At 42.0% G+C, this 13,588-nt stretch overlaps 1 annotated feature.

The window, feature by feature from the left end:
* Window positions 10,578-11,777: an enhancer, noted in NCBI's record as "P300/CBP strongly-dependent group 1 enhancer chr9:2260567-2261766 (GRCh37/hg19 assembly coordinates)". NCBI's record gives its function as "activates an origin of replication core promoter dependent on BRD2, BRD4, P300/CBP, MED14 and CDK7 cofactors, with strong dependence on P300/CBP, by STARR-seq in HCT116 cells {active_cell/tissue: HCT116}" and the evidence as "EXISTENCE:reporter gene assay evidence [ECO:0000049][PMID:35650434]".

The following is a 13,588-nucleotide window of genomic DNA, read 5'->3' as shown; positions in this document are numbered from 1 at the left end:
GAGACGTTCATCGTTCCTCCAGCAGTGTAACTTAGTTCTCAAGTGTTTGTTTCTTGCTAACGTAGAGAGAAGTTCTTGCAGGCCGGGCGCGGTGGCTCACGCCTGTAATCCCAGCACCTGGGGAGGCCGAGGCGGGTGGATCACAAGGTCAGGAGATCGAGACCATCCTGGCTAACACGGTGAAACCCCGTCTCTATTAAATATACAAAAAAAAAAATTAGCCGGGCGTGGTGGCGGGCGCCTGTAGTCCCAGCTACTCAGGAGGCTGAGGCAGGAGAATGGCGTGAACCCGGGAGGCGGAGCTTGCAGGGAGCCGAGATCGCGCCACCGCACTCCAGCCTGGGTGACAGAGGGAGACTCCGTCTCAAAAAAAAAAAAAAAAAAAAAAAAAAAAAAAAAAAAAAAAAAAAAAAAATTCTTGCAGTGAAGAAGTAGGATTTCTACTAGCATTAGACCTGGGGAGTTTTTAGGACTCACAGTAGAAGGAAAGATTTGGGCATGGCACAGAGGTGGAGGCTCTGGAAACTAGAGCACATAGCCTACCTGGGGGAAAGAAGGAGGGAGAGAATCTGCCTCAAATCATATTCGGGTTGGTTTCCACACACCCAGGCTGATGCCCATCTGCCAATTTAGTCCCACCCCCAGCCACTCAAGGCCCAATCAGGTGAGAGGAAGGTGGAGCTTAAGTATCTCCCCCCTCCCCCGACAACCTTCCCGGGCTGTTTCTTTGGCTGCCAGCCTGACTTACACACAATTCACCAGTTCTGATGTCTCATTTCAGAAGCCTGAACTTCCTGTTTTCTACCAGCATGTCTCCGTTCTCATGTGCACTATGTTTTGTTTTGTTTTTGTACACTATGCTTTTAAACCTCAATTATTGGTCCCATGCCAAAGTTACTTTTCCAATAAACTATTATTAAACATTCTTTAGGACGGGTTCCTACCATCCTCTTTTCTTCCCATACTTGACTCTAGCACTCCACTAACCGTCAACGATCCTCCTTAGTAGAATTTTTAACCTGGCTTTCCATGGATTTTTCTAACATCTACTTTTCTTCGATGCTAAACTTTCCTGGATCTTTGGGGCCTTTTGTGTCTTTGAGCATACCAGTACTGTGGCTGCAGGTGAACATGCCCCATAGGTGATGAGCAGTTCACCCAGGCCTCTTTGGCCTCACCTAGTGTCAGTGGCCTTGATGGCTCACAATGCTTGCCTCGTGTAGGAGCGTGGGGCAGCTGGGGAGGAGGAGGATGTGCATTGTCTATTGCCAGATTCTGCCTCCTTCTCTGAGTCTGGGAAAGAAGAGTAGGAAACTTCGAAGAGTGGCTAAAGCCCCACCTAGGGAGTCAGAGAGACCTGGATTTGAATTCTAGCTCTGCCACTTGCTGGCTATGTAACCTTAGAAAAATTACTTAACATCTCTAAACTTCAATGGCGTCATCTTTAAGGTAGGCAAAATAATCCTGTTTCCTAGGATTATTTGATGAATCAAATGAGATGACAACATATGTGGCAATCCTATATACATAGACAACGTAGTATATGCAGAGTGTTAGTTATTGCCTAATTATCTGTCATGCCTCGCCAATTCCTCAAATGTGACAATGAGCTCTTGGGTACAGTTTTGCCCACGGTCTGCCCCAAGCATAATGGAGCCTTCCATGAATATCCAAATCCAGCCCAAGTGGTTTGTGTTGTTCTTCCCCTTTTTCATGAACAGAGCTGCTCTGCAATGGGCAAGATGGATGCCCTTAAATCCAGCCTCTCGGGGTTTTTTATTTTTTTAAGTCTTCTCTTTTGGCTAATGGTTAATAAAATAACTCTGTTTTCCCACAATGCACACTTCCTTTTCAGCTGCCACTTTCTGAACTAATCACTTACTCTAGTCACTAGTGGCTCCTATCCACAGCCATGTAGCTGGCATCTCTCCCCATACACTCCTGTGGCATTCATATTTCATGAAGAACAATGGGGTAGGACCATACAGCAGCTCTTGGAAAAAAATAAAGTGTAGAAAAGAATGAAATAAAATGGCCTGCTTACTTGGAGGAAAATGTTACTAGGAAACTAGCCTAGAGCCAGTTTCCTCAGGGGTGGTTTATAGAAAAGGATTTATTATACAACAAAAAGCTTTTATTTATTATTTTTCCAGCAAGCATTTTTGCATTATTATTCATTTGGCAACTCAGCTGGGTATTTGGAGGTGACAGCTTGCCAATTTTTTTCACAAACATTTTGGACTTTAACATCTTAATCTGAAATGATTGCAGTAATTACAAGGGGGTAATGGGTAGGAAGATGTGGGGAAGGTAGCAGCATGTTGAAGACGCTAATAGTAAGAGGAACTGTGCTAAATATGTAGTTCTGACAGTTGCAGATAGAACGTTTGCCTGCTGATGAATAGCAGAAACAAGACATCAATGTTATTGCCCACTTTTGAGGTTTTGTCACCATTTAAAAAATGATCACACCTATGCAAGCCACAATGGCACTTTCCTCCTGTTAAATTCTCTTTGAGGGCTGCAGAAAATCACTGAGGCAATTCAAAAGTCCTACATAATCCGTCAATATTTATTCGGTATCTACTCTGTCTCTGGTGTGCTCTTTAATCCTTTATCCCACTTTATTTTCTTCATAGCACTTGCCACTAATATTTGTTGTATTTCAGCTTATTGGGTTTATTATCTGTTTACCCAATAAGAATGTAAGTTCCATGAGGACAGGAACCTTGTTGGGTTTGGTTCACTGCTGCATCTCTATCACCAAGAACATTGTCTGGCACACAGTAGTGGCATAATAATGATTTATTGGAAGAATGAAGGAATACTAAATACCGAGGTAAATTAAAGAATGGTAAGACGTTTTCCCTAATCTTGGCTTGTAATCTAGCTGGAAAGGAAACTGTATAAATGGTAAGAAAGCCTGCAAAGGAAAGCAGTTGACCAGAAGCTCTTGGGTCATCTTTGAAGGGTATTCCCTACGGGTGCTAATTATGTGATTCCTGTAAAGAAAGAAAAATAACCTGTCACTGTCCCCTTTAAACATTGACTGGTAAGAATAAGCTCAGGCCATTCTTGGACCTGCTTTCCCAGCTCCTGCTTTGCACACCTGGCGTTAGTCTACCCTGCCCTCTTTCATTTTGATCTCATGGCTGAGGTCCAGAAGCTCCCCCACCTGCCAATGTTGCCAATTGACTTGCCTCCTCCTTACCCCTATTCAATATATCCAGAGAGTGACTTAATACAAATGCACCTCTGAAAGAAATATCTTCAGAAATATCAACACATATTTTCAAATTGTGTTGTTAAAAAATAAATCCATGTGGTTGTTAATAGTAATTTTATGGAAAAAGGTTTGCAATATCAAATAGGTTTGGGGAACTCGGAGTTAGTTGAAACCATTCCCATAGTTTGTTTCCAAGTCTTTAGTGCACTGGCGTGCAGTTAAGTCTCTGAGAAATGGCCATATACGTGGTGGGTATTTCCTCCAAATTTATTTGACCATGGACCCTTTCTCTTCTAAAATATACATAGTCTATTGCTATTACTGGAACATAATTTTTAAAATACTAGTCTATAAGCTTTACAGAAGAAGGGCATATAGAAGTTGTTAGCCTGAGCTAGCCCTTAGGGGATTTTGAAGATTGACTATTTGACTGACCCTTTAATCAAGAATTACCATGATGTTTAAGTTCATAGGGCCAGGACCATAAGAACTCAGAAGAGAGAAAATCAAGGTTCTATGGAAGAGATGGACTGGAGCTGGGATTCACATTATAAACAAGATTTAGTTAGATGCAAAAAAAGGAAATTTCAAGTGTGGGCAAAAGTGAAAGATGGGGAGGTCATGACAATGGGTATTTTAATTTTCAAATTTTAATTTACTAAGATCCCTGAAAATTCAGTGGGACTTGATTAATGCATTCTAACATCCAGTCCTATTTTTTCCTATTAACTCATTGTGTTAGTTTGCATTTTCTAAAGCAGACACTAAGACAGGATTCAGAGTATAAGAATTTTATTAAGGGAAATGCCTGTGTGACAGAAAATGGGGACAAACCAGGGAAAGCCATCAGACCATTATACAAGTCTGACCCCAAGTGAAGGAGAAAGGGAAGGAAAATTAAGTAGAAGCATCTACTAAACTGCCAGGAAGTTTAAGGAGTTTTCAGCAATACTGTCAGGGAGTCCTTATGTCAAAACCAGCCGTCAGAAGAATCCTACATCTCCCCAGACTAGCTCTGCCTTAGTATTCCTGCTGCATGAGCAGCCAGCTCCTGGGAAGCACTGCCTTGGTACAAATAAGGCGATGGATTTTCAGAGTTCAGCTGCTGGCCCCTTGATCAATTAAGCTCCTTGTAGTTTGGGTTCAGAAGGCACATTTTTGTCACCATCACTCTGAAGACAGATCTTTAGAAAAAGTGAGCTGGCCTATATATGAGAAACAAACTGCCCACAAAGCAAAAGTTGTCCATCTGAAATCAGTGATAAAGGCAAAGCAATATCTGATGCACATGGTGATAAGACCTAGCCTGGTAACAAGAAAGAGAGTCTTAGTTTTCCCAGGGGTAGATTCAGTTACTGTGGGATCTCAAGCTTGTAAAAGTGGTGTTGGGGATGAAGGAAGAGTATCATTAAGAAAAAATATAAATTACAAATATGAAATCACCAGGGATTCTCCTGGGGCCTTGAAATGGGCCCCTGTACGTAAGAGGCCAACTTAAGCCTCATTTGCTTCATGATAAATCCACTCCTGTTCATTTGCAAAATATAGCTAAGAGACTTGGAGTACATTGCATGAGCACATTCAAAAATAATTCACTGCTGATTGATTCATGAAATGTAAAATGCCCCACAAGTGTTTAATTATCTGAACTGTGTGTGCTTTTCACGGAAAAGAAACAGCTGACGAGAGATGGAGCGAGCAAGCCACTGAGGTTAATGCACAGTGAGTGACCCTGGCATGCTCTTCCCAGCAGAGCTGAGTGAGCTGCTGACACAGACCCAGGAGGACACATTCTCAAAACTTGGCTGCAGTCAGTCCTCGGAAGGGATCGCAGTCTGGCCTCGGTTATCAGACTTTCTCTCTAGGGATACAGAAAAAGGGAGACAGGGTAAACCTGCACCACAAAAATAGCTGTTCTTTTAGCCAAGCAAGAAAATGGAGTGCGAAAGACAGTAAATCCTGAGGGCTGGAACTAACCCATGCCTGTGCTGTTCGTAAAGATCCAGGAGTGATAAAAAGGTTCCCGGAATATTTTTTCTTAGAGGTTTTCAAACTACTCAAATGATGATGCTTCTAATGAGAGTAATAAAGCAAGAAAAAAGAAAAAAATAAAAGAGGAATGAGGAAGAAAGAGGGAAGAAGTGAGGACAGAGAAAAGGGAAAGGAATATGAAGTAGAGAGTAGAAGAGAAAGAGAAGCAAAGGACTAAGAAGGTCACAATTTTTAGCTCTAGTGGGGCCAGAGACCTAATCACTTCTGGACCTTCTAGCATCATTTTAAAATAGAATAGGACCCAAAGTATTCACACAAATCTAGGTAGGGGAAGTGCTGATACAGGATATGCCTTTGTTGTACTCTGAACATCAAAGGGGCTTCACCCCTAGGTTCTCTAGTTTGGTTGCCAGTCTATCCAAAAATTTTACATCAGGAATAGCCTTTCTTAAAGACAATGATGCTATGATACACTTCCCTACTCAACCTGGAATGCAACTGTACTGCCTGCCTTACAAATCCTGCCTTACAAATCCAAGCCATCCTCCGGGCATAATCGTCTATCACCTATTTCTTCCCACCACCCAGCTGCATTTCTTGCTATCTTGCTCTCACTAATACTTTATTAACCTTCTCATTTTTTGTATTTTTCTCTACCTAGCCCCATTGCTTCAACCAAACAGATCCTTGTCTTAGTTTATTACAATATATTGTCATTTCCTGATTACTTCTGTATTACCCCATGACCTGTAAGCTCCAAAATGTTTATTGTGTATTAGGTAGCATCTATCCCAGTGGATGACATACAGCAAAATCTGGATAAACATTTCTTGGAAAAATGAATGACAAGCATCTACTTGTGTGCATATATGCTTTCCTTTACTGAAGACTCCTATGGCTTGCGCTTAGTAGTCTACTTTTCTTTAAAATCCTGCTTAAAATTTGTGTTTTCCAGAAACATTTATAGAAATGCTTGCTTTTCACAATCTGACACACACTCCTGATACTTAATTTTGGAAACTTCTAGGTACTCCTTTGCTTTTCGTTTTCCTTCTATGAAGTAGCTTGTAGCAAAACCAAGGATCAAGAAATGTTGTACTAAAAATATTTATCTGCTTGAAAACATCAGAGAATAACCAAGAAAATTAGGATTCAAGGGGCCAAGACCCCAGGAAGAAGGGAGTTTGCTGATGTGACCCCAACATTCACCTCAGAATGTATGTAGTTTTTTGGCATGTTTTGTCATGGGTCAGAAGCCAGGCAAAGGGTGGCATCTAAGAGATAGAGGAGCCAGCTGAGCTTTCAGCAACCTTCTGGAACTAGGAAGGAAAAAAATGCAAGTTTGTGGCTTCCAGTGCATCCAGGACTTGTGTAGGCCAGGCTCTGAAAGAGGGGACATGCAAAGAAGTGGAGGTGGTTTACCCTGCAAGGCATTTGATGACTGAATGAATGGCTTAAAAACCAGGTTAATACCATCTGAAAATCAAAGTGGAGTTTTTAGCAGTCTCTTAGTCCCAGGGAAACCAAAATCAGTGTCCAGGATAGACCCTATTAGGCATCCCAAGATCTCATCTGAAGGAAACCTCTAGGAGTAGGGCAAAATCAGGAGTAACGTGAGGTTTGCTTACTTCCTAATTGTACTGAAGTGAAGTGTCCCTCATCTAGCAGCCTGCCAGAGGATAGGGTAAATTCTCTCTGGAAGAAGATAACATCATTCAGAGCCTCTCCAATTTTCCATATGCAATGTGTCTAGCAAGCAATTAAAATTTACTAGGAATAAAAAAATAGGACAAAGCAGAAAGAAAAGAGAAACAGACCCACAGGTGAATTAGATATCGGTATTATCAAACATCAGTTTGACCATGTTCAGGAAAACAATAAGATGGAGAATTTTACCAAGAACTAGAATCTATTTTTTAAAATAATTAAATGAGAATTATATAAATGGTATTAAGATCTCAATAAGTGTATTTAACAGATGGTTGACATTGCTGAAGATTACTTCACTAAAAGTTGGGTCAGTCGTAAATATCCAAGCTAAATCAGGGATGGAGAAAGAATGTAGAATATAAAAAAAGCAGGAGACAAAATACAGGGAAAACGTCTAATATATTTATAATTGCAATACCGGAAGTGAAAGACAGGGCTAGCTGGATTTTCTATGCTAAGAAACCCTAAGCCTAGCCGGGAAGGTGGCTGCATCCACCTTTAAACCCGGGGCTTGCAACTTAGCTCATACCCAATGAATCCGATAGTAAAGAGAGCTCACTAAAATGCTAATTAGGCAAAAACAGGAGGTAAAGAAATAGCCAATCATCTATCGCCTGGGAGCACAGGCTCTGATCAGGATATAAACCTAGGCATTCCAGCCAGCAACAGCTACCCACTTTGGGTCCCCTCCCATTTTATGGAAGCTCTGTTTTCACTCTATTGAATCTTTCAACTATACACTATTCTGGTCCGTGTTTGTTACGGCTGGAGCTGAGCTTTTGCTCACCATCCACTGCTGCTGATTGCCTCCGTCGCAGACCCACTGCTGACTTCCACCCCTCCGGATCCGGCAGGGTGTCTGCTGCGCTCCTGATCCAGCGAGGCGCCCATTGCCGCTCCCGAATAGGCTAAAGGCTTGCCATTATTCCTGCCCGGCTAAGTGCCCAGGTTCGTCCTAATCCAGCTGAACACTAGTCACTAGGTTCCACGGTTCTCTTCAATGACCCAAGGCTTCTAATAGAGCTATGACACTCACCGCATGGCCCAAGATTCCATTCCTTGGAATCCGTGAGGCCAAGAACCCCAGGTCAGAGAACACGAGGCTTGCCACCATCTTGGACGTGGCCTGCCGCCACTGCCATGGCCCGCCACCATCTTGGGAGCTCTGGGAGCAAAGACCCCTGGTAACAGAAGGAGATATGAGAATGAGAAAGAAGCAGTCTTGGAAGAGAAAATGTTTGATAATTTTCTAAGACTTTTGAGAGATTCAAGAAATCCTATATTCTAATAAACAGGCTCAATATAAAGAAAACCACACCTAGACACATCATAATAAAACTACCAAACAGTAAAGGAAATTTTAAAAGCTGCCTGATCCAAAGATCCATTACACCGTAGGAGCAAAAATTAGGCAGACAGAAGACTTCCCCAGAGAAACAATGGAAGCTAAAAGACAAAAGAATGACATCTTTAAAGTGCAGAGAGAAAATGCTTGCCACTCTAGCATCTATCACCTGAGAAAACAGCCTTCCAAAATGAAAGTAAAATGAAGACCTTTCTAGTCAAATAAAAATAGAGAGGATTTCAACCCTTGCAGAACTGCACTTAGAAAAGGGAGAAAAAGAGGAAGGGAGGTTTCTTCGGCAAGAGGAAAGAGGAACTCAAAAGGAATTACAGAAATGCAGGCTGCAATAAAGATCAATGAAAACGAAAAAAAAATGTGGACAATTTTAAATTACAATAGACTGTCTTAAACAATAATGATGATAGTGGGGTTTAAAACACATGTGGAATCAAAATGCCTGATAATAACAAAACATGCAGGAATTAATTCACTAACAAATGAGCTTATTTATTATCCATTTTGTATCATCAGTGTTTGGCACAATGAAGGGCACAGTGTCTTACAGTGGTTGGTTGAATGCTTATAGTTGTTGCTTGAATGCTAGTTGAAAACCCTTCTTTCACAGATGAGAGGGAGAAAAGGGAAGACCAGAAAAATAAGTGTAATGGCAGAGCTGTGCTCAGCTCACAGATTGTTTTTGCAGACCAGAACTCTTGGTGCTGACTTCAGAGTCCAGATTTGCAATTAGACTATTTAGGGACTAGTGACATTTTAGACTACTTTCTATTCTACAAGCATGCCTGAGATCAAACCTTAGCCCCTATTTCAAGAGGCTGAGCCCAGGGCAGTTCTCTGCATGCTGACCCACCTGGTGCCCAACTTTTATCGAAGCCCTGGTATAATCACTTTCTACCTCTCTTCCCTAAATAATCTTCTCTAAGTGGCAAAGCACTGAGAAACCTACAGTAACCTCCTAGGCCTGTGCTTAGGTGGTGGTTATTTATATTGGCTCAAGCCCCTCTTTCTCCAACTGTTGAGGCTTTGTTCTGGAAGAAAGCAAGGTTGATGGAGGAGAACAGTGCAGCAGCCTGTTGCAGGAGTGTGCCTGCAGAGCTGTCAAAGTTCATTTTCCAAGCAATTCTTCCAAAGGTCTTAAGATGACAAACCGCTTCTGCCTTGTGGATGATTTTGTTTTTAAAGGGAAAGCCCAGGAGGCTGCAGGCAGTTGCTAAAGGGGAGGGAATAAAATGATAGCTTTAGCTTTTTCTCCACCTCCCCCACCTAACAAAACCTAACAAAAAGAGCTGGCATCGAAGATGCAATATGGCATTGACAGACTGTACAGTGAATTGATGTTATGGAATATTTTAGCAGTCCTTTTATAATTTCCCAGGCTCTTAACAATCAAGTTTTAGTTCATGTGTATAAATGATCAAGTAGGTCATCATGCTCTCCCACAAAGTTAAGGAATAGACAAGATTGATAGAGGCAACCTCTGTCAGCCAAGACGCAGCTGCACAGAGAAGAGCCGGCCTCAATTCTGCCTGTTAGATCACTTGATTCCAATTCTTATTCTGCTTCTCAGAGGCAGGATCTGAGGCCAATCATTTAATTTCTCTGAGCCTCACTTTCTCCATCTGTAAGTGGGAAAGATAGTAATACCTATGCAACCTACTGGACATGACTCTGGGGGAAGAACAAATGAAATAACATGTATAAATAAGCTTTTTTAAATTGAAGAGTCCTGAGGACAATTTCAGTTTTTATTATTTGCCTTAAGACTGTTGTAAATATTGCAGATCATGACAACTGAGGAATAATGCTCAGTAGAAAATGCTAAGAATGTTTAGAACTGGAAAGATACTTAGAGACCTTCCAGCCTAACCCGTCCATTTTTCAGATGAGAAAACTGAGTGAAAGTCAAGTAAATAGTTGCTTTCTTAAAGTAATGAAATTAGAAAAAGAAGGAGAAAGAACATTTCTCAGATCCGTTCCAAATTCTTCAAAGAGTCCTCCTGGTGCACAGGGGTCAGGATTACCAGATCCCAGTGTTTACTATTTCTTGTTCTTTGATGTCCACAGACAGTCTTGAGCTGGAGGAGGAGATTAGCAAGTGATCAAAGAGGGATGTTAATAGATATAAGCATCTATCTGATGTTTTCCTCCTGGCATAATATCAAGAATTTAAAAAGCACTAAGAGTCTTCTATAAAGAATGAAGGCAACTTATCTGAAGAATGTTATGTCAATAAAATTATCTTCCAGTGAAGGCCTGGATACACCACCTCAGAACGAAAAGGTATCCTGAATGCCACTTCAGGACCATTTTCTGAGACCTCTATCGTTCACTTATAGCTGTTCAAAAGTCAGAAAGGAAAGCATGGATCTCCAAAGAATCTGACATCACCTCAAAAGCACGTGGAAGGAGGAAGAGAGGACATTTGATATGTGATCTTACACCTTTGGTGTGCATAACAGATATTTGAAGACATGTTACTTAGGTGCTCACAAGCATGTCCATATTCAATAGGGAAGCTTCTTCATTGAGTCCTAGGACAATTCCTGATAAATTGAGTTGGAATTTCTCCAGCTGGACAGTTCTGGGGTCTATACAAAGAAGATAGATCCACTGTCCACTTGGCACAAGGCACTTAGAACAAGCTACTTGAGCCCTTGATCGAATCACTATTAAAATAACACTTCCTACCCTAGTCTCCTTCAGTGCTGCGTGGCCTCAGGAGTCTTTGAAGATGAAGTGGTCATTTGATCCTGAACTTATTACCACCACCCACAGCATGAATCAAGGCTTTCCAGCAAGTCTTTTTCCCCCGACCCTTCAAAGGTTAGAAATCAAAGAGCCCCGGCTCTCAGTGGATCCCAGAATGCTGCTGGGTAGCCCAGCCATATATTGGCACTGTGTCAATGCCATTGTTTGGACTTGGGTGTTCCCCAGATCACATTAATCCTTAATCAGTGTTTTCCTCTGATGTGGCAAGCCCTAGAGCCTGCCCCAAATCTTGAGATTCATTGATTTCATGTCACCAGGGACTGAATAGAACACCTCTCATTCAACAAAATAACTGTCACTGACTCAGAAACAAGAAACAGGCTGTCCCCAAGGGGCCAAATCACCAGGCAAAAGAGACCTCCCTAAAGTATGGCATGGTCCCTTTGTTCTGTGCCAGTCAGCTCCTGCTTGAAACTGTGTTGCCATCTCTGATTCATCCCTTCTTTCATGCAGGGTGACTCAGAAGGGGGGAAAGTGCTGTGTAAAGCCCTGCTATATTTAATTGATAAAATACAGCCAGTTACTGCCAAATCAAAGGGGGCAAATGGGTAGTGCAAGGATGCACTGAAGTAGAACACTAAGCCACATGACAAGTGGCTGTGGCTACAGGCAGCTGAGGAGGGACAATGGTGGACTGGCTTAGCTGGCCATCAGCCATTTTGAGCAAAAGCACATCAGAAGCTCTAGGGGACAAAGAGGCAGAGCCACAAGTACAGATATGGCCCATAAATGCCCCCCGGGGACACTACACAGAGGCAGGCCACACACATTTGCAGTGTGAGAAGAAGCACAGTGAGTTATTTTAGTCATCTCTTAAACATATGCTAATGAAATGCAGTCTTATGAAGGACTATCACTGGCAGGACAGTAGGTTATACAGAGAGGAGCAAGATCGATGCTGGCATGGCAATAATTAACACACACACGTGGATGTATACACACATACCTGTGTACATACATGCACACAAACATATATATACATATAGACCTATTTTTTGAAAACAAGCTGTTGATTGCCCTCCCCCTTTGCGTACTGTCTGAAGCTACTCGAATGCAGACAAATGCTTGATGATTGTGTCAAAAACCAAAATCGTTATTTAAAAACACTTTTAAAAGTTTAAATACCAAGTGTGAATATAATTTGTTTCAGTGAGAAAAATATTCATGTAAAGAAGAGACAGGGAATTGAAGTTATTTTCTTAAATATTTAATTGAGTTAGAATATGAGATTGTCTTGATTCACTTAATTAGAATTTGGACTCCTGATCTCTGAACTCAAGAAAGTTATTTGCAGTGATCAAGGAAGTCACTTCAGAATCCAGAGAGTAGGACCACCGGCAGACATGCACAGAGACAATGGTGACACACGTGCTGAGAGGCTGTTCCATCTACCTGCCACCCTGATTCCTGGGCTCCTCCAGGGTGACTTTGTGTATCTAATGGGTTTGTGTTTTACACTATAGGCAATGTTTTACAAAGATAATTCCAATAGTGGGATAAAGAATGACTTACAGGTAGGGGGAGATTGGAGGTAGGGAGAATAGTTTTAGGAGGTTATTGTATGAGGTCCCTAACACATTGTGGCATGGGAGAGGAGACTCCGGAAAGGTAAAATTGGTGGCACTTGGGTACCGATGATATATTGAGGCAGGAATTACATTCCAAAGAGAAGAGGATCTTGCCTTTACAGGCCTGGCACCCAGTTGTAATAGTTTAATTTCTAGCATATGTTATAATAACTCCTAAATCTCAATGGCTTAACACAAGAAAGGCTTATTTTGGGTTCACATTAAGTCCCATGTGATTCAAGCAGAGCAGCCTTAATCCATCTACTGATCCTTCATTTCCAATGCCTGGTCTCTATGATTTCCTACAGGAAGGGAAGACAGAGATGGAGGAAAGACACCAGCTCTTAACATTTGACCCAGAAATTGCACATCTCACTTCTGCCTACAGCTCACTGGCTTAAACTAGTCCTGTGGTGCAACTAAACTACAAATAAAACTGGGAAATGTAGGGGCACTCTTAGAACATTTGGTAAGCACTAAGCAGCTTCCGTGTATACATGAGATCACATTAGTTGCCAATTTTTAGTAGCTCTGAGCCTAGACCTGTTTAATGGCAGCACCTCAGTCTTGCTGCACAGCCCGCACATTGGCCGTTATCTCCATGAATCCTCTGCGAGTAATGTGCCCATGTTCTTCTCTCCTGGGCTCATGAGGTGCCTTGTAGCTGCCTGTGTGCCTGGTGTTAATGAAGGCTGTCTTCTGTGACAGGATGTCTATACGGTCAGGGTGCCAAACAGGCAGAATCCTGGGAAGAGTGGGCAAAACATCCCTTTCCTCAGCTCTGCATTATACTTGACTTCAGGCATGGATGTGCCAGTGCTGTGCCTAGAGCCTCCTAGTGTCTTTCTAAGTCTTCTCAATTCCTTACTCTGTCCCACAGAAGTGAAGACAAGTGTGGGCAGGCTCAGAAAGGCCTGTCCCATGTCATCTTCTTTGTGGCCTTCATCCTATCTCTCTTTC

Source organism: Homo sapiens, chromosome 9, assembly GCF_000001405.40.
Source record: "Homo sapiens chromosome 9, GRCh38.p14 Primary Assembly".
In the NCBI taxonomy this organism is placed as follows: Eukaryota; Metazoa; Chordata; class Mammalia; order Primates; family Hominidae; genus Homo; species Homo sapiens.
The sequence above is the reverse complement of the archived record's forward strand: the minus strand, read 5'-3'. Positions and strand labels throughout refer to the sequence as shown.